At 34.3% G+C, this 22,169-nt stretch overlaps 1 protein-coding gene across 6 annotated transcripts in view; it reads left to right on the forward strand.

Annotated features, from left to right (window-relative positions):
• CNTN1 (contactin 1) overlaps positions 1 to 22,169 on the forward strand; it is a 379,977-nt gene that overhangs the window by 320,620 nt on the left and 37,188 nt on the right. For all 6 annotated transcript variants that reach the window (XM_011537926.4, NM_001843.4, XM_005268651.3 and 3 more), the window contains 6 exons: positions 1,170 to 1,240; positions 3,624 to 3,858; positions 7,279 to 7,382; positions 12,092 to 12,278; positions 14,799 to 14,911; positions 16,005 to 16,161. In XM_011537926.4, coding sequence (XP_011536228.1) covers positions 1,170 to 1,240; positions 3,624 to 3,858; positions 7,279 to 7,382; positions 12,092 to 12,278; positions 14,799 to 14,911; positions 16,005 to 16,161 — 867 coding nt within the window. The remainder of the gene's footprint in view (positions 1 to 1,169; positions 1,241 to 3,623; positions 3,859 to 7,278; positions 7,383 to 12,091; positions 12,279 to 14,798; positions 14,912 to 16,004; positions 16,162 to 22,169) is intronic.

Genomic DNA, 22,169 nt, shown 5'->3' on the forward strand with positions numbered 1-22,169 from the left:
GTTGAATGCGCTGGATTTTATAGTCAGGTTTGAGGAGGTGGTGTCTGATTTACATAGGGCTCACAGATTGGTTTGATCAGGTATGATGTTTACATAGTGCGTGGGGAAGGTTGGTCACTGTACCCTAATCTTATTATGCAAATAGGCTTTCCAGTTGATCAGTGACATCTTGTCTGCTTCTTACTGTACATGTGGCTGAGAAAGAAAAGGGAAGATGGAGCCGCCATCTTGAACATGTGTAGTCCATAGTTCCTGCCGGCATTCACCCGTTCAAGCTCCCAGCTTGCTTGTTTATGTCTGCAGCTCGACTTTACAGGCTGCTCTTTCTTAGAAAATGATTTGGGGCTGCTTTTCATTAAAAAGCAAAGCCTTACCAAGGACTCCCATACCCTTACTTTCTGCCTCAGTGATTTCTTCTTAACTCCTATATTGGATATATTGTGGGTTGTTAAAAAGTGATTATGGAGTGAAGTACAAAAAAAAAAATAGCCATATATCAGTTCTTCCATGCAGTACAGTGGCAGAAAAGGATGTGATGGCTTAGGGATTAAGAAGAAAGCAGTATGACAGAAAGATTTTTAAGATCAGAGACTACAAAGGGTCTTTCTAGCAGGGAAACTGATACTACAAGATGATATAAGAGAACGGGGGAGAGAGTACTTTGGAGTCACTGACGGCGCAGTTTCAGAAAAAATTGGGGAATTGAAAGTGAGAGCATAAGAGACGATATTAGATTTATAATATTTCTAGATATTTGGGGAAACATTATCCAATACAAATGCATGGTTTCTTAACATTTATTTGTAGAATGAAGCATGAAACTAACACAACATTAAGTTGTTAGAAGTTCATAGGCTTCAAAAGTAAAAGTGGCAAAATCTTTTTCCAACAGTCTATGTAATCTTTCAAAATCATACTAACTGAAAGGACAGGAAATGGGCACACTTCCTATGGCACCAAATCAATTTTTATCTTGGCAGAAAAACTGATTATTACAGCTACTGTGAGCCATTGTTATTATAATTGAGTGGATCATTTGTCCAGTATGTTTTTCCTAGTAAAAGAAAAACATTTGTGGTTTCTGTGGTGAATAAGAATTCTAACACCAGGAAAAAAATGCAGGCCCTCTTTTTGTTGTTGTTTTGCATATATTTGTTTGTTTGTTTCAGCACCAAATGTGGCTCCTTCAGATGTAGGAGGTGGAGGTGGAAGAAACAGAGAGCTGACCATAACATGGGCGGTAAGTATTGATGAGTTGCACATATTATAGGTTGCTGTATCTATATTTAACTTCCACCCCATTTTGTTTCCTGAAATAAATTGAGATGAAAGTGACTGCCTACTGCACAAGCAAGAATATATTACTATTTTTTTTTCTTAAATGCAAATCAGATTTTATCTGGCTTACTGTGGCTTAGTGTGTAGCTCCTATGCAAGAATGAATCCTGGATGCTAAGAGATCTGTTAGCCTAGATGATTAAACATTCAGCTGTCTGATTCCAGAGATACTTTGATCATTGTAGTCTGGTAATCTAATTGTAATTTTAAACATTGTCTCTGGACATTCTAAATTCCAAAGATTCCATTTACAAACTTTGTATCAAAACCCATTTTTAAATTGGAGACTGCCTCCTCACTTGAAGCTTACTTTGATCACTGGTGTAATCTAGCATGATAGGTCAGTCTTAGAAGTCACCCATGGGACTAGTTACTGAGGTATCCAAAGCATTTTATTACAGTTTCGTGAGTCAAAGAGTTCTGTATCAGAGACTACAATCTCTAGAAAACAATACATCTTGGCTGGATTTTTGAAATAGGAAAGATATTGGGAGGGGTGGGAAAAGTTGTCTGACAAAACTGTCTGACTTAGACATCTGGCATTTATCCAGATAACATGGTTTATACAGATTCATTTATTCATTAAATACACTTAGTGTTGAATCACTGCAGATAGTCAAAGAGCACAATTTAGGCTCCAAAGGATTTTGAAGACTGTGGAAAAAATGACAGGTTTTATTCTTTGCATTGGTCAAATGGATTTATTTAATAAATGAATGTTTAGCAAAACTTGACTCACTGTGTGCTTTGTAGTCATTTTCTATACTTAGCATTTAAATCACATTTTAAAGCAAGATTTAGCAAAAAAAAACTAATCTGAATCGTAAAATATTTATTTCTAAGTTTAACTGCCAATGAAATGTCCAAAAATGCAAATATTATAAAAATTAGAACATTTCGCTCTTTCTCTTATGGCTTTTTATAAATTCTGTGGATATCTGCTACAGAATAAGATGGGCCTTATAAAAAATTCAGTATTGGAAATTCTCCTCCAAAGATTCAAATTCAGGTTTCTGGAGATAGAGCCCGAGAGTTGTTATTTTTGAAATTTTCATAGCTGATTCTGTTATACTCTAAATTCCAAAAACTAAGTAGAGAACTATCAATAAGAAAAATGTTTAAACTATTGTAGAAATGTTAGGCTATACTATCTAATAATCTAAAATCACATACCTATTAATATATTGTGCAACCACATACAGCTTCTACCATTTGACCTTTCCACATTTCTATATCTTCCTATTTAATATAAGTATGTCCAAGCAATAGTGTTATATTTACTTCAAGGTTTTGCCTCAAGACATCTTAAATTTGATTTTCTGGTAAAAAAAAAAAAAAGTAAATATACAATGTGCACATTTACCTAAATTGCCAAAAAAGGCTAACTGACAAGTACTCACTAGAAGTAGCTGTAAGTCAGTTTTTATTAATAATAGGTGATTAGGGCTGACATAGACTTCTTTATAAGGCAATTTACATGAGTGACAAGAAACCTTGAGAAAATGATGAAAAACCAAGCACTTGCTTTAGAATTGGAGATAGAAACCCAAAGCCATCCTCCTACAAATGAGTGCAATATTGTCCCTTCCTCCTTGTCACCTACTTTTATTCCTCTTACCAGTTTCTTTTCGATCACAAGGTAGATATTCTAGGCTAGAGTCTTATATAACTCTCTTACCATTGCCTTTCAATTCTAATGAAATTCATTTGCTCATCCCTTTAATACATATTACTTGAAGCCCTGTTCTAGGTGCTAGGGATAAAGAGGAAAACAAAACTGACAAAAACGCTGCATTCATAAAACGTGTATTCTAGTAGTTGAGAGAGACAATAAAGTAGATAAATAAGTAAACTGTATAGACTTTGTTAGGGTTAAAGAAAAACAATAGGTAGGGTGCGGGACATGGAGCATTGTGTTGGAGTCTTGCAGTGGCAGAACCTGTGGTCGGAGAAAACGTCGAGGTGATTTTACCTCGGGAAAGTGAGGGGGTGGGAGGAGTCACATAACATCTAGGAGAACATTCTAGGCAGAAGAAACTGAAAGGAAAAAGGCCCGGAGTGAGAGGCCCCTGAGGTGTTCTAGGAGTAGTGAGGCTACAATTTGGTAAATAAGATCATCCCATGTTTAAGTATGTTTTTCCTCTGACATTTGGAACCAGCACTAATGTATGAACTGTGTATGTTTTTACAAAGAGCACGCCTCCGTGTGTGTCATTATCCCCATAGCATTTCCTCCCTGTTACCTGTATTACTAAAACCTACTCAATCTTTTAATTTCTATTTAGCCTTTGTCAAGAGAATACCACTATGGCAACAATTTTGGTTACATAGTGGCATTTAAGCCATTTGATGGAGAAGAATGGAAAAAAGTCACAGTTACTAATCCTGATACTGGCCGATATGTCCATAAAGATGAAACCATGAGCCCTTCCACTGCATTTCAAGTTAAAGTCAAGGCCTTCAACAACAAAGGAGATGGACCTTACAGCCTAGTAGCAGTCATTAATTCAGCACAAGACGGTAGGTGAAAGAAAGACCTTCTTACCTGAGGAGGGAGGAAAAACGTATTTCTCTAGCAGGCATTTAGTTTGTTTCCTTTCAGGCCTTACTTATTAAGACCTTTTTATAGCATTATGCATTTAGTAAATGAGTACTATTTTGAACCAAATTAAACATCACCCTCTTCATCTAAATGATGAGAATGTTGCTAGAGTCTTTTTCATCATTTAGATCATGCCCATGGTATGAGGAAATCCCCATTAAAATAATTGGCTCTGACTTCCATTTTTGGGCTCTTGATTATAATTTTGTAGTCAGAAACTCTCCATACTTGAACAGAATCTCAACATGTCTGTATATTCATAAAGTTTATAATTTAAAACTTCTATAATATGGCCGGGCGTGGTGGCGCATGCCTGTAATCCCAGCACTTTGGGAGGCGGAGGCAGGCAGATCTGTCTGGAGGACAGAGCAAGACTCCGTCTCAAAAAAAAAAAAAAAAAAATTTCTGTAATGTATATATTATATATATTATTTGTAAAATGGCCCCAAATTCTAACCTAAAAATGTGTTTAATTGCAGCATTTACGTAACTTTTTATTACAATACAGAACACAAATTTTGTTAAAGGGAATCTAGACATAATTATATGAAAAAGAGGTCAGTTGAAATTGTTTTCTTGAAAAGGGAAAAATTTGTCCTGTAGGGCATTTAGGAAAAAAACAATGCTAATACCAGCTCTTTTTGTTTTTCTAGAAACTTTAACTTAACTAACCATGGTCATAGAAGACTTTATATATTTATACAAATGATACACAGTTTTAGATTGAGCATAATTACATTATTTTCTCTGATTTCTGTTTAAGCTGCTATACTTTTGTTATTTATATTCTTGTTAAAAATAATACCTTTCTGGCCTGGCATGGTGGCTCACGCCTGTAATCCCAGCACTTAGGGAGGCTGAGGCAGGTGGATCACCTGAGGTTGGGAGTTCGAGACCAGTGTGACCAACATGGAGAAACCCTGTCTCTACTAAAACTACAAAATGAGCCAGGATTGGTGGCACATGCCTGTAATGCCAGCTACTTGGGAGGCTGAGGCAGGAGAATCGCCTGGACCCGGGAGGTGAAGTTGCCGTGAGCCGAGATCAGGCCATTGCACTCCAGCCTGGGCAACAAAAGCGAAAGTCCATCTCAAAAAAAAAAAATAATAATAATAATAATAGCTTTCTTTATTCATGTGCACTGTGTAAATAATTAATGACTAGAAAAACAAATAGAGATGTCATTGCCTTCTGATCTTTGGCAATGTACATTTACCCTTGGCCAAGTTTCTCTTTGCACATGTGTGAGAAGCACAAATAGAAGAGCTTGAAAACTAAAGGTGTGTGAGGTACTCTTCTATCATTAGAGGAAATGGGCTCTATTGGTTCACCCAACTTCCATTGTTTTCACTCCAAGATAGACATTTAGCCATGCCTTATACCTCAACAGAAATTCTCACGTATATTCATCGGTCACAGAATTATTAGTTTTAGTATTTGTTAAAAATGTAATATATAATTAAATCATCCTATGATCTTTACTTTTATTAAACACCATTGTATTCTATATATGTATGTCATAATACCATGTCATATGTCTTAAATATACATAACAAAATTTAATATAAAAGGCAGTTATTCATATATGTTAAAGTATATATGTGTGTATATATAAGTATATATGTATATATTTAAAGTTATATATATACTTTTTACTATATTTTTTACTGCATACAAAAGTATGTGTATTTTAATATATGTGTGTGTGTGTGTGTATGTGTATGTGTGTATTTTTTTACTTTTAAGTTAGCACAACCAAATATGTCAAAAGAATAAAATGTAGAAATAATTTGTTTATTATCAAACAGTGGAAAAGTCCTGATGACAAACTTATATTCTCTATGCTTGTGCTCATTCAGCAGAAATATGATAACTTGGCTGAGCGTGGTGGCTCATGCCTATAATCCCAGCACTTTGGGAGGTCGAGGTGGGCGGATCACCTGAAGTCAGGAGTTCGAGACTAGCCTGACCAACATGGAGAAACCCTATCTCTACTAAAAATACAAAATTAGCCAGGTGTTGTGGCACAAGCCTGTAATCTCAGCTACTCAGGAGGCTGAGGCAGGAGAATCACTTGAACCTGGGAGGTGGAGGTTGTGGTGAACCGAGATCGCGCCATTGCACTCCAGCCTGGGCAACAAGAGCGAAACTCCATCTCAAAAACAAAACAAAACAACAATGAAATATGATAACTTCACTCAGTTTTAATAATTTGAAGAACGAGTACATCTTACAGATAAAATGAGTGTCTTAAGCATTTTACAAGTTACCTTCTCACCTTTTTACTGCTTTACTTGATGCTAAAATAAGTTTTCAGGCAAATAGCTTGTCATCTATTTAGTCATGGCTATTTGTATTTAATTATATTTCTTTCCTAAATATTTCATGAGTCTCATAAAACTTGCATGTGTTGAAACTTGTATAAGTGTTAATCTCTTCTTCCACTGCTGAGAAATCAATCATAGTGCTACACATTTGCCTTGTTTTAGAAAGTCAACAGTGTTCATGTGTAGAACATTTTTAAACATTAAATAGGATTATGGCATTTTAATGAAAGACAATAAAAATTGATCACCCCTGCTTAAAGCCTTCATTGGTTTCTTTGTGTAAATTTCATAAGGGATGTCAGTTACTTTTTTTCTGTGAACAGAGACCTTTTTGATACATATTTGACTTGATGCCCAGTTGGAAGATTAGACATATAAAAGCTTTCTTGAGCCCAGGAAACAGTGGATGTTACAACTTGTTTCAAAGGCTCTTAAAAATTTTTTTTTAAAGATCTTAGCTTGAACATAAAAAGGGAAGTTTTATTAATAATATTGCTGTTTGTAGTTAGTTCACACAAATAGCAAATAAGAGAAAATGTATTATATTGAACAATTTTCTATAATTCCAAATTTCCTATTTCTGATAATATAGAGTTGACAGCTAAATATTAATAATTTTAATTTGCATCAACAGGCTTTCTTAAGCATATCAGTTGAGAGAAATTAAAAAAATAGTTTTTTTTTGCTCACAGATGTAATAGAAATTGATGAAGCTTTCTGTATTTGGTAAAAGTGTGTGTGGGAATGTGTATGTGTATATGTCTATATTAACATTTATGTAAATGAATGTGTGTGTGCACATGTATCACTAATGCCATAAAATAAAGTAACATTAGAAAAATACAGGAAGAGGTAATGAAATAATTGCACTTAGTTTGAAAATAGTAAAGCTATTTTAGAAACATTAAAATTAAAGTATGGTCCAACATCATTCATATAGCAAATGATGCTATTCGAATTTCTTAAATGTAAATATCTCACTAATAATATAATGTTCTCATAAAATTTCAGCTCCCAGTGAAGCCCCAACAGAAGTAGGTGTAAAAGTCTTATCATCTTCTGAGATATCTGTTCATTGGGAACATGTTTTAGAAAAAATAGTGGAAAGCTATCAGGTACGTTAAATTTTTATCAAACTAAATACATTTATTCATAAATATATAAGCATACGTTTTCAAATGTGTTGTATGTTTCAATGTCCCATTAATTTATGTGGCAACTAATACTTTATTCTCTGTGTCTAGTATTGTGGTCATATATAAGTTAATTGTTAAGAATAAAACAGGGGTTCCTAACTGGCCTATCTAGGGGAGATGTAAAGAAACCTAAGTCCTGGCAAACAATTGGCCAAAATAAAAACTATGGTAATAACACTTATGATTACCCAAGGTCTTTTTAGGAAAACATTCTCATAAAAAGCTAGTGAATCTCAAGTTTTTTGGAAAGCATTTTGGTAATTTATAGAAGCATCCTGAAAATAGTCATCCTCTTTGAGTCAGTAGTTCCATTTCGAAAAGTCCCTCCAAAGTAAACAATTTTAAATATACCGAATATGTCTTATGTTATCTATGAAGTAACAATCAAAATGACCCAAATAAAACTTCCCTTGAGCTTAATTTTAAAGAACCAGTAAGAATCAGTCAGACGCAAATGAGAAAACTTGTCTTAGTCAAGGGAGTAAAAACTGGAAAATCAAAACTAGAGAGATTAGTTAGGGTCTTTAATACAATGCTAATGCAATTTAGACTGAGTTATGTAGGAAATGTGAAATCATCATCTCACATTTTTAAGTGCAAGAAGTGAAAATTCAAAGGAATTAACATGGTTTTTCCTTTACAGATGAGCAAATGGATACCAAAGAGATTTGACAACTTGCCTGAGTTGTCACTTACAGAAAGTGTCAGAGCAGTGTCTAAAACTCAAGTTGTCTGATTCAAAGTTCGGGGTTTTATTGCCACACATCACAGACTTCCCTGTTTTTTTTTTCAGTGAGTGCTGTCTAGGGCTGCCTCTCCACCCACCCCACTCCCCCAGCCAGCTTGCATTCTCAGCTTCAGCACCCTCCCTTATCCCTTGTCCATGGAATATTAGCCCCATGAGGGCAGGGTATTGTTCTATTCTCAGTGCCATGCAAGACCAGTGCTGAGCACCTGGCAGGCTCTAAATAGATATTAATTGAATACTGATAGGAATAATGAAGTATGATTAAATAAAATGTTACAATTGGGCTTTCTCAAGGCCATGTTTCTGAGATGTAGCTGTAAAAGAAACTCAAGGCTTTGAGCAGACACACCCAGACCAACAGGAAGCTTTTTTTTTTTTTTTTTGACACAATAGGTTATAATTTGGGAAGATCTTAAAGAGCCCTCAGATCATCTATGCAAGGGTTCAGCTGAATTTATTACAGTACACAGAAGAGTAGACTGGGAATAATTAGACTGAGAATACCCAATATTCATAACTTACTAACCTGACAATTGTGTTTGCGGCTAGTAGGAAAGAGAGAAATTCACTAGATGTTACAAACCCCTGTAATAAATACGCCTGAGGTATCTTTGGGAGAAGACATCAATGTGTAGAGCTTGGAAAGTAAAATTTTGGAGCACAGGATTTTTTTCTTCTTTTATATTATTTATTTCTAACTAATAAATATTGAAAAAAGGATAATTTAACATATAACCCATATCATTGAGTCAAAATGCCAAATATATGACATATTTTACTTTATTTAAAACATGCTAGAAAATTATATATTATCTTTGTTAATGCCAAGAATTATATATTGACGATTTGCTTACTTTTAACAAGAAGAAGACAAAAGAAATAAGAGGTAGGAAGCAACATAGTGGAACCAATGATTCAGATGATAATTAAATTAAATATGCTTTTTTAATTGGGAACTAAACCTTGATTAAGGATTTTCACATAGTCAGTAAAAAGTAATCTTTATCAAAGAAGATTTTTTTCAAATGATAATTTCAAGGGAAAAGTATGTACCATGAGGAGTTGGTTTCACAGATGTCTGACCTTTTCCAACTTACATTAAGTAAAAACTTATGCACTTTGCTGCTGAGCAAACATGGGTTTATATTTCAGCTCTGTCACTTAAGAATTTTGTAGAAAATTGATTTGAACTTTGAGTTTCCTCACCTATAAAGTGAGAAAGTAACCACTGCCTCATAGAACTGTTATGTGAAAGATATTAAATAACCTGTATTTAAGAATTTTCCCTGTTTATGTCATTGGGCATTCCAAGATGGTGGTGATGATGATGATGCTGATGGCAGTGAGGAAGATGATGATGATGTTAATGATGAAAAGACTGATAACACGTCTTGAGTTCTTATTGTGCTAAACACTTAACTAAGCTCATTTTATTAAATCCACACAACCCTAGAGGATAGACACTATTATTATCCCTATTTTAGAGATGAAGAACTTGAGGATTAGAAATGTTTGTCTGAGTAATAATTGTCATAATCAGATTTTAATCTAGTTCTTGCCTCTCCAGAGAACGGTTGATTAAAATTGCTGGAAGTAAATCATAGAATTATTCTTCCCATTCATTCTTTCTTAAAATCCTTTTAAACCTTTTACACAGGGTCTTGGATATCAAAGAGACAAGCACGAACACTTAAAAGAGAAAAATCCATATTATTTATTGTTCTGCAGGAAATGCTCCTGTGACTGTGGCCGGTAGGGGGGAGGGGGGTCTTGACTGACTATAATGTGGTTATTGTTTCCATTTTAAAATATGATGGGAGAAGCCAATGGTTTAACAAGATAGATGATGGTGAAAACCAATACCCCAATGCACTTCCCATGAAAATGTACGATGGATCTCTATTTTTCTGTGTATAAAGATACACAGAAAGAAAGCAGCACATTGAAAACATAAAATATAAAGCTGGAAAGCCCTGACTCCTGCCTGATTGACACCATCTCAAGGTTCATTTCCTGACATTTCAAATGAGAATTGTGAGCAATTGAATTTAAAGACAATCTCTTCCCTTGTGGTTTTAAAGTGTATCTCAGTAGAATGTTTATGTCACTTAGTATTTTTTTATCTTACTTGGTTAAAGAGCTCCCCACTTTCAATCTTAATACCCAGGGAGTTTTTCTATAGTGTAGGTAAGCTAGAAGAATACAAGAAGTCTTTCTTATCAAGGGCATTTTGGAACTTTGGGCTCTTGCCCAGGAATCCACAAAAGACTTAGTTTGCTCACACAGTGGGTAAAATATTCACTTAATTAATTTAACAAAAATGAGTAAAATAGGCTACCAGGAATAATGAATGCAAAAACTTTAGCACCTAAATTAGAGATTAATGCAGATGACTGATTTCAGTCATCATAAAAGATGAACAATCCTGTATAGTCTACTCAAATATTTTTAAAGTTTAAATTATTATGGTGAGCCGAAACTGATTACTTAGAAAGTGCTTTATTTTCTTATTTTGGAGAAGACATCCGTTTTGGTCTGAATCTCTTTGAAACAGAGCCTCAAACAAAGATGTGGAGAAAGGTTGTTTATTATTGTTGTTAATTGTTTGTTTTCAATATGATCCTAGGAAGCAGGTATGAGGAAAAGGCAGAGTGAACAGGAAAGAGGGGAGCTCAGATACAAACGTGCTATTTGTCTTGTTGGCAACCACTGTGGGCAACTGGTACTCCATCCCTTGAGACCTTTGAGGAGTTTTATAAATGTGCCTCTGAAGCTGCCCTGCTTGGGATGAAAAGGGAAGCATTCATCCACTTCTGAATGTCCAGAAATGTGCTCATTCAACACATAAACCTCACTTTTGTGAAGTGAATTTGAGCCATCCTGTTGCACTTCATAATAGTTTCTTACATGTTTATGTAAATAAAAAATGCAGGATTATATTATTATTAGACATTTTAATCTAGGCATTTTGGTTAATTGTGAAATTACAATCCCGTTATTTTATAGACAGGGCATCTAAAATATGTAAAATATCAGGATAGTTACAAATAATCCTTTTCTTTTTATTCTTATATTACATATAACATATTTTTATTCATTTTATTCATACCTTAGATATAATTATAAATCTTGAATGCAAAAAAGCCTTTATTTAAAGATGAAAATTATAATCCATAACTTTTCTTAAACTTTAAGAGAAAAGTAATCCTGTAATTATTTGACAAAAGTAATCATTTCTAATGAAAAAATCGATAACTTTTTTAAAAATTATTTTATGGGTAAATAATTTCTACAGTTTATCCAGTTATTAGATATATTTCTTTGATATCTAGCTTCTATATGGGTTCAAAGGAAATAACATTAGATACTTCTGAAAGGAGGCAGAAGAAAGTATTACTTTAGCGTATTCTAGGCCACATAGTAACTATTTTTATCCAGCAAAATTATATTCCTCTCCAACTGCTTTAAGAATGGCTCAGAAGAAGTTTGAAATCATGCAAACAGAAGTAAAACAGGAAATAAATGATAAAAATTATAGTGACAAATACTTCCAAATGGAGACCACTTTTATATTTTGAAAGTAAGTCTGCTTCAAAGTTTTTGGGATTTTTAAATTTTTTATTTTTTATTTTTTTTAGTCAATGTAAAACAATTTTGGGCAATGAAGTAAGACTTTGATTCGCTTTTGGCATCTTTAGTCATTCCTGCCCTGTATGCTTTACTATATTCTAAGGCTGATAAAAGGGTAGATATCATTAAGAAACATTTGAAAATATGATGATCAGCCAACACCAATGGTAATAGAACCAGTTGAAGAGAACTTTTCATAGCTGAAGACTCTAAATCATGGCAAAATATAACTCATCCTGAATGTTTGCAGATTCGGTATTGGGCTGCCCATGACAAAGAAGAAGCTGCAAACAGAGTTCAAGTCACCAGCCAAGAGTACTCGGCCAGGCTCGAGAACCTTCTGCCAGACACCCAGTATTTTATAGAAGTCGGGGCCTGCAATAGTGCAGGGTGTGGACCTCCAAGTGACATGATTGAGGCTTTCACCAAGAAAGCACGTGAGTCTCACGTTTTGTTTTTAGACTTGTCAAAAACTACCACTGGATTCAATCATGATACGAATATATTTGAAGGAAATTTCCTACCTAGCTACCTGAGCACATTTTTCAATATCCTTTACAGCCACACAAGATTTCCCTTAAAACGTGAATTATTGTAGATGATGAAAAAATGTGAAAAATACCCTCACACGTTAAATATTCCATTATAGAAATAAAGTTAGAGAACTATCCTTTTGTAAAGGCTGTCCTCTCAAATTCTGTGCCATTAACTTGTCTTTACCCTGTACTTATTAATTTAAACATTGTTTTCATAGGAGTACATCAACAGCATGTGAAAACTAAAATTCTGCTTATTTTTACATGCTTTAATTTATAAACCTCTGTCATTGCACAGTGCAATGCAAGTTAAGTGTGTAGCATTATGCTTACTCTCTTATTACTGTATGTTCTAGTACTGTATGTTTTAGGTGGTTCATAAAACAAGACCGCCTATCCCTGCTCACGTTCTGGTCATTCTAATCTCTCTGGGTTCATTTTGATATCTCTGTTCTTGAACCCAAGTGGAATAAGTAAAAAGGAGAATTTTTATGTAGGACTCTAGGGAATGTCTCAAGAATCTGAAGATGTGATTACCATTAGAGTGTGAAAATTTATGAAATTCACTTTGGGACAGAGACTCTCCCAGTGAGATGACAGAATGTAGTGACAAGAACTAGAATTTGGTGTCTAACATGTGTTTGAGATCTGTCTCTGCCACTTGCTAGATGTATGACAATAGATAAATTACCTATTTAAACCTCAGTTTTCTAATTTGTAAAAGGAGCATTCATTTTTGTTCTTTTTCCATTTGTTCATGTATTTATTCATTCATCAAAAATATGCTGTGTGCTCAGCACTATTCTTGATGGTGAGGATACAAAAGGGATCAAACCAGTCCAAGGTGCTATTCTCGCATGGTTTACAAGCTAATGAAATGAGATAGAAACTTCAAACAAACACAAACTCTGACAAATAAATAAGTGGGATTAAAGCAGCTGACAGGGCAATAAAATGAATAAATAGACAAAAGTAAAGTGACTTAGATAAAAGTGAAATTCTGATTGGGTGGCCAGGAAAGGCCTCTGAGAAGATGCCAGTTAAGCTATGATTTGAGTGATAAATGATAAGAAGAACCCACTATGTGAATAGCTTTAGGCAGAGCCTTAAGGTTCTTTGCACTCTAAGTAGTACAAAACCTTAAGGTGAAGAGCACTTAAAATATTTTAGGTGTGGAAAGGCCACTGGGTCCAGGGCATAGGTTCTGAGTAAGGAGGGGGAAGTGTTCTGGGGCCCAATTACGGAGAACCTTGTAAGTAATTGTGATGAGTTTGAGTTCTTTCTAAACATGATAAGAAGCCATTGAAAGATTTTAAAACAGAGAGTGATATCTAATTTATGATGTTGTTTTTAAAAAAGTCATTCTGGCATCTGTACAGAAAATGGATTGTGGTGGGTTAACAGTGGAAGCAGAAAAGCCAGTTAGGAGACTATTTCAGCAGTCAAGGAGAGAATTGATAGTGGCTAGCACTAAGTGAAAATGGAGACAGAAGTGGAAAGTTTTCTGTAGGCAGAGTTGACAACTTGCTGCCAATTTGGATGTTGGCAATGAGTGGGATGAGAGACTAAATACCAAATTTCTGCTTGAGAAACTAGGGGGTTGGTTGTGCCATTTGCTGACGATGGCAAAGAGTCATTGGAGAAAGATTTGAGGATACTCGACATTATATTACATTTGAAAAATGTATTACATTTGATTATATTACATTTGAGAAATCTTTTAGAGACTCAAGTAGAAATAGGCTGATATCTGCCTAGACAGAGAGACCTATAGCCACATATGTCTAGAGGTTGAAAGAGAGATTAGGGCTAGAGACAGAACTGTGAATATTTAAAGCCATGGGCCTAAGTGTCAGTACTTAGGGAAGATCCACAGAGAGAGTAGAAAAGGTACATAGATGAAGTCCTAAATCATCCAACAGTTACAAGTTGACAGAGGGAGCCAGCTAAGCATGAATAATGGGAAGCAGCAGCCCATGAGGTAGAAGGAAAACCCAGTTGTTAAGATCTGAATTTAAGAAAAAATGAGAGATTCAAGAAAGAAGATGGTCAATTCTGTGAAATGCTCCAAAAATGTTAAATTTAAAAAAGAATAATCAAGTGACATTAGATTTAACCAAGTGGAGGTGATTGATGACCTTGCAAATAGCAATTTCAAAAGACTAGTGGAGAAAGAAACCCAAGTGGAGCATGATGAGAAGAGAATAAAAGTCATATTACCTAGCTCACAGGGCCATGGGGTACATTAAATGGACTCATGGATGTAAAGTGCTTAGCATAGTGCCTGGCATATAGTAAACACTTATTAAAACTAGATGGTGGTGGTCATTATCATCAGCATTATAATACCTGATGCAATAGAGTATGCAGAATTGAGATTGGATATAGTGACCACTGATTGCATATTACTACTTTTCACAGCTCCTAGCCAGCCTCCAAGGATCATCAGTTCAGTAAGGTCTGGTTCACGCTATATAATCACCTGGGATCATGTCGTTGCACTATCAAATGAATCTACAGTGACGGGATATAAGGTATATACAAATAGTGATGATTAATGTTTGCAATTCTTGCTATTTCAGTGAAACCCAAGATGGGTTTCTTTTCTTTTTTTGAGATGGAATTTTGCTCTGTCACCCAGACCGGAGTGCAGTGGTACAATCTTGGCTCATTGCAGCCTCCACTTCCTGGGTTCAAGTGATTCTCCTGCCTCAGCCTCCCAAGTAGCTGGGATTACAGGTGCCCACACCCACACCCGGCTAATTTTTGTATTTTTAGTAGAGACAGGGTTTCACCGTCTTGGCCAGGGTGGTCTCGAACTCCTGACCCCAAATTATCCACCTACCTCAACTTCCCAAAGTGCTGGGATTACAGGCATGAGCCACCACGGCTGGCCCCATTCAACTTTCTTATTCTATTTAATAGTTGTAGAGCAGAATCAGATAACGTAGTGCCATGATACATTTTGAAATGGAAAACATTATCTTCAGTGAATTTCAGCAAAATGTTATGTCAAAAGTGTAAGATAAGTAGAATACTTTAAAGATAAAATAGAATAATCAGAGCTTAAGGAGGAGAGAGAACGAAACTATTTTTGTTTGGCAATGATTATGATAGGGTTGCCCAGCACCCAGAAAACTCCTTGATAAACTGAGTTACTGTTTATAAATGAATAAAAAGGAGAAAAGCTTATTTTAAATATATTCTTTATATCACACACTATCACATTTTTCACTGGATACCAAATTTTATGGAAAATGGTAAAAATAAAAATTGAGAGACAATTTTCAGACCATTTCAATATATTTTAAAAGTTCTCATTTTGGACTTTTTTCTTAAAAAGACTCATTCTTTCTATATTTTTATTTTGGGTCATCTCAAAAAATAAAATTCAGATGCTTAAGTCACATCTCCTTGGATAATCCTACAAACTTGCAAAAATCAACTATTGTGAATTGAAACTAACATGATTTTTTTCATCTAGTTTTAAATTTAGTTTTTCCTCTTGTTTTAAATTTATTACTTTTTGTTAATCAAAGTATAAGCATTTTTATTCTGGTTTTAGTGTTAGAGCATTGGCTCATTATTATGACTTTACTGCATATTTACATTTCTGTACTTTATAAGGTACTCTACAGACCTGATGGCCAGCATGATGGCAAGCTGTATTCAACTCACAAACACTCCATAGAAGTCCCAATCCCCAGAGATGGAGAATACGTTGTGGAGGTTCGCGCGCACAGTGATGGAGGAGATGGAGTGGTGTCTCAAGTCAAAATTTCAGGTAAGTGAGTCATTTAAGACACATTTCAACTAAGTACTTGTGAGTTTCTAGACCCTGTGGATTCCCAAGGGTAGGGATAAGCCTGATACACCAGTGTCCATATTTTCCTAAGTAGATTGGACATATCAAGGATTCCCTGAAACTTGGTATTTCTCCTCTTATGAGTCACAAAAGTAAGTCTGTGACATACCACATACTTCTTGATTATTATCTGGATGTCAAAGCACAGTTGAAATCTTTCAGACATAAGACGAACGAGTTTTTGGGATCCAATATACAGTATGGAACATATTAGTTTATTTGATTGTGGTAATCATTATACAATGTATACATATATCAAATCTTCATGTTGTTCACCTTGAATATATTTAATCTTTGTCAGTTAAATATTTTCAAATAAAAAGCACAATTAAAATGGCATAATTTATTGAATACTATATAATACTAGGCTATTATTTAATAATAACCAAACTTCTATCAAAAGGAAATACACTAGGCTATTTTTAATACTCTTATAACTCTTTCACTTGGACTATAGATATTGATATAGTAGTAAAAGAGAAAAACACTAAATTATAGCCCCTTTGTCTTTTCTCTTTCTCTATCTTATCTATTCCTTTTCTACAAACTCTATTTCTCACACCTTTGTTTGATTTGGAAATACATATATTTGAGGCAGTCATTTCTTTTTTTTTATTTCTGGCAATCTGTTATTTAATTTTTGACATATTTTTCTTAACCTATATGCATGATATAGTTTAATTATACTGAATTTCAATAGATGTTAATTTGAGAAATGTATGAGAGGCTTTGACATTACCAGAAGATCCTAGAACAAAGATGATAATAAATAATTTATAAGAAAATTTGGTTAATCTGTACAACAAACCCCATGACACAAGTTTACCTGTATAACAAATCTGCACATATACCCCTGAACTTAAAATAAAAGTTAAATTTTAAGAAAACTAAAAAAAAAGAAAATTGAAAATTTGGTGATTTTGATATAAAGAAATAAATATGCTATATATTAAACCAACAAAAAATCCTTTACCACAATGCCAGAGTATTTAATGGTATTTAATAAATGCTGGCTTCAATTGTATGCCATGTTTTTGTGAAGTTTGCCACAATACATATATACATCCTTTACAAATCAAAATAGAACTTTGATTTTTTTTAGTTTAATCATCAGCAATTTTGTCTTTTAAGAAAATAGAGAAATTACAGAGATGTGAAAGGAAAAGAAAATAATCATGTTCCAAATACCCTAAAATAGCTACTGTTAATGCTTAGTTGAATTTACTTATAGTCACTCTGTATACATATATAATTTCATGTTTCAGCTTCCATTTTTGTAAATTATTTAAAAATTATAAATGATATTCTTTCAAACAAATATGCAAACTCATTAAAGTTTTTTTCTATCATAAATAATACTTTTAGAGTCCATTTTCATAAATTAATCTTTCTTCTGGTTAAATTTAAGACAAAGTGTTTTAGGTTGCTAAATTTCTTCAAAAACACTTACTAATTTCTATTCCTATTATCATTGAGTATAAGTGCTTTTCTCACTGTACCACTCTAATATTATTGTCTTTTTAGTCATTGCTAATTTGACAGGGGAAAATAGAATTTTCTTATTTTTGAAACATTTTCTATATTCAGAACTTTGTCAACATCTTCAATAGTTTTACACTTAGTGGGCAGTTTCACAAAAGGAAATCAGAGGGAAATATGGCCATTATTTCAAGGAAGGTAAAGCACAAATAACTAAATAAATTGCTCTTGAACCCTGGGCCTTCTTTCTCTTGTGTAGAAGCCAGCCACAGCGAGCTTTTGCTCTCTGTACTCACCCTTGGTTCATCATTCCTCACCGAAAGGAGAACCTAGCTTCTGGGATTTAGACTAGAGGTTTTCAGCAAGAGATGATGTAGCAGTGATGGTAACATCAGTTTACCTATCACTAATGGCACTGGTAAATGTTAAACAGTAGAATCACTAGGGATAGGGGAAAGCCCTGTTTATAATGTTTGCCTGTTTCTGTGGTGTAAATATTCTCATTATGTGTGATTTCAAGCTTTCCAAGTGATGTCACTTAATATGGAGCTGTGAAGAGCTACCCAGTAGCACATCATTATATGTAATTGCCACCATACAGGTATAATAAGAACCTAAAAAACATTTGACAACATTATAATATAGTAAAATATTAAGAAATGATGGGTTTTGAGTATTTACTACATTTGTTTTAAGCTTTTAAATTTAAGTTTACATAAATTCTATTTTAATAATTACATTTTTAACACATTGCTCATACATTTCCTAAAAATTTAACAATTGGATTTCAGGGGTTGTATCGGTTGATTTCAGCATACCACAGCTGTAATTTGATATTTCAGTATATATAGCTCATGTATAGAAGAGTATTTTTTTAATCCCAAACTTAGGATATTTTTCATATTTTTCTCTTTTTGCCAACTAATGGACAACATTCTTATTGATTTTAGAATTTCTATTATTTATCTCTTATTCTGACCATAACTGTACAAATAAACTGTAGAATTAACGTTATGAAATGTCAGATGCTTGGTGAATAACACCATTCTAGAATATTCTTGTTTTTAAGTTTGGATTTTCAAATCATTTAAATTATTTTAATGAGGCAAATGTGTAAATACAAACAGAAATTACAGGTTTTTTTCTAAATTTAAAAGACTCTTAGTACTTTCTTTTGGTTTTCATGCCCTAAATACGTAGCCAGGATTATAACACACTACTAGATCTTAATGTTTATAAGCATTATGCTGTTTGTTCATTCATTCATTCAACAAATAGACATTAAATGCCTACAATACAGCAATCACAGTTCACATATTTAAAATGTGCTAAGATTTACATATTTCCACATCTCTGCCTGGCCCTGCTGCAATTCTAATGATCCTCTTGCCTCCCAGTGTTGGCCTCTCAAGGCCTATTATCTATGCAATAGACAGGGGGGTTTTTTAAAACACAAATCAAATCATATAACTCTCCTGTTAGAAAGATGGCTCACAGGGAATGGTGTGAACCCTGGAGGTGGTGCTTGCAGTGAGCCGAAATCGCGCCACTGCACTCCAGCCTGGGCGACAGAGCGAGACTCCGTCTCAAAAAAAAAAAAAAAAGAAAAAGAAAAAAAAGAAAGAAAGATGGCTCACAGGTAACATCTACATTTCTTACTGTGGCCTATAGTGGTCTATATAATCCACCCTCTCTCTCATCTCAATTAAGTGCTTTGTCCCTTTCTCTGTTGACATTTCTCTTCTTGAACACACCAGTGTTATCCCTGCCTTGAGGCATCTCTACTTGTTCTCCCTTCTGCCTGGAATTCTCTGGATCTTGGCATGTTAGTTTCATTCTCATCATTCTTGTTTCTGTTCTGATGTCACTTCCTCAGAAAAGCTCTATATATGGCCAGCAATTAAGGTAGCAGGCTACTCTGAGTAAATCTTCCTTATATCATAGCACTGTTTACTTTTCATCCTAATGTTAGTAACCATGTAAAATTATCTTATTTATTAATTTGTATTTGTTTATCATGTCTCTCCATCCTTACTTGAAGCTAAGCTCCATGGGAGCAAGCTCTTGTTTGCCTCAGTTGACCTTTGAATCTCCAGCACTTAGGGGACTATCTGGCATGTAGCAGGGTTTTAAAAAATAACTGTTGAATTAATTCATGATTTCTGTATAGAGAAAAGCCCACTAACAAGAATAACTTGGGCAACTTAAAACTATAGTTTTCATCTCTAGAAAACTGATATACTTCCCCATTAGGTTCATGATTTATATTATTTCATGTGCTGATCCGCAAATTTGATTCTTAAAAAAATAAGACTTCCTTTTAGACATATTTTGGAAATATTTCAGATTTGATTATCTGTAACTGCACTTCTATCTGACTTGAACACTGTTATCCATTGCTTTAATAACTTATTCCTTATTGAATATTTGTAGTGCATATCAAGGCAAATGTAACACCACAAATGTTTCATCACACATATACTATCTCTAATAATTCTATATTATCCTTCAAAAACCGTTTTTAATAATTATGAGCAAATTAAGAAAATATACATATAGCTATAATTTTCAATATTAATTTCCATAAGCTAATTTGGATTACTACATATTTTCTATAAATTTTAGAATATCAATTGACAAGGATCCTTGGTCATAAATAAATATCCTCAGAGAAGCACATATTTAATTATTTGTAGTGAGCATGCATATTTTAAGTCTTTACTTTTCTTTTTAGTTTTAAATAGACTATAGATAGCTGAATCAAGAAAGACTGCAGAACATTTTAGAGTCTGAACATTTTTCTACGGAAAAGAAGTAGTCATTTGAAATTTTTAAGGTAGGAGTAACATGATCAGATTTTCTCACTTGGAAAATCATATTGGTGATTGTCGAAAATATGTATAGGAGGGGACTAAGATATAAGGAGATGAAGTACCAGGTTATTGCCATAGAATGATTAAAAGATAATGATGTCCTGGGCCGGGTGCAGTGGCTCACGCCTGTAATCCCAGCACTTTGGGAGGCCGAGGCAAGCGGATCGCGAGGTCAGGAGATTGAGAGCATCATGGCTAACATGGTGATACCCCGTCTCTACTAAAAATACAAAAAAAAAAAAAAAAAATTAGCCGGGCGTGGTGGCGGGCACCTGTAGTCCCACCTACTCGGGAGGCTGAGGCAGGAGAATGGTGTGAATCCAAGAGGCGGAGCTTGCAGTGAGCTGAGATTGAGCCACTGCACTCCAGCCTGGGCGACAGAGTGAGACTCCACCTCAAAAAAATAAAAATAAAAAAATAATGATGTCATGATGTCCTGAACTGGAAAGAAGGCAGTGGTGGATGTCTAGGGTAGATTCTAAAAGAGCAAGGCATTTTTTCCATTTGATTTAAAGTTACTATATATTCATTTTGTGTATTTTGTCTTCTAATAAATCTGTAATTTATCCTGATATTACCACTGATGATGTAATCTGTATATTTAACCTAATATTTTTGTTAACTCCAAGATATTAAGTTAAACTGTATAACCAAACCCACTGACTTAAACACTGTGATGGAAAACACATTTTGTTGTTTTGCTTTGTCCTCTCCTGCCAGTAGCAGAAGAAGGTCTAGAAAACTATTTTTTGGGTAGAACTTTTATATGTTTAACTCCATCACTACTCCTGTCCTCCCTTCTCCATTTCCTAAGTATTGCAGTGTAAGAGGGACAAGAGGATAGTAGGATGTTTAGATTCATTTCATATGTTATTACATTTAGTCTGTGATTAAGATACAATCAGATATTATCATTCAGGAAATGCTGTCTCTTCAACCATCTTGAAATAACCAAATATTTTGTTTTCCTTTACCCCATTTTTCATGGGATCAATTTGAGTATTCAAGTATATAAATCTAGCCTATATATTTTAGATTGACAAATAGCTTACATTTAAATTACCTCTAAAATGCATATTCTCTTCATTACCATTGAATCATGACTAATCACTCAAAGCCTTGCCTAACCACATAAATGTACTTAGCACTCCCAGTTTTGTAACAAACATGAAGTTGGAAGATAAATTATTTGGACAAAGTAATATTGTGTGAGTCTCTAAATTCAACTTTGGGAGGCAACTCATAGCCTTGATGATTATTAACATAACTCCTGCAGTGACTAGGTTTGATCCAGCAGTTGTTGGACAACTCCCAGCACAGGGAGTTTCCAGAGCCTTAATTGTCCTTCAGAAGCTTTGAGTACAACTTCTAGAAGCACATTTTAATATTTTAACTATATGTCAGGCCGTGAACAGCACCTCTGTATCTAAACTAACCTAGGTTTTTTCAAATTTTCCCTAAGGTTTCCATTAGCTGCTACCAAGTTCTCACAACAACTTCAATATTTTATTTTGCTCATTTAGTTAGACTCAGAAATAATTTTGCTGAAACATTCCTTGATGGAACACATGTAAG

This window comes from Homo sapiens, chromosome 12 (genome assembly GCF_000001405.40).
Source record: "Homo sapiens chromosome 12, GRCh38.p14 Primary Assembly".
In the NCBI taxonomy this organism is placed as follows: Eukaryota; Metazoa; Chordata; class Mammalia; order Primates; family Hominidae; genus Homo; species Homo sapiens.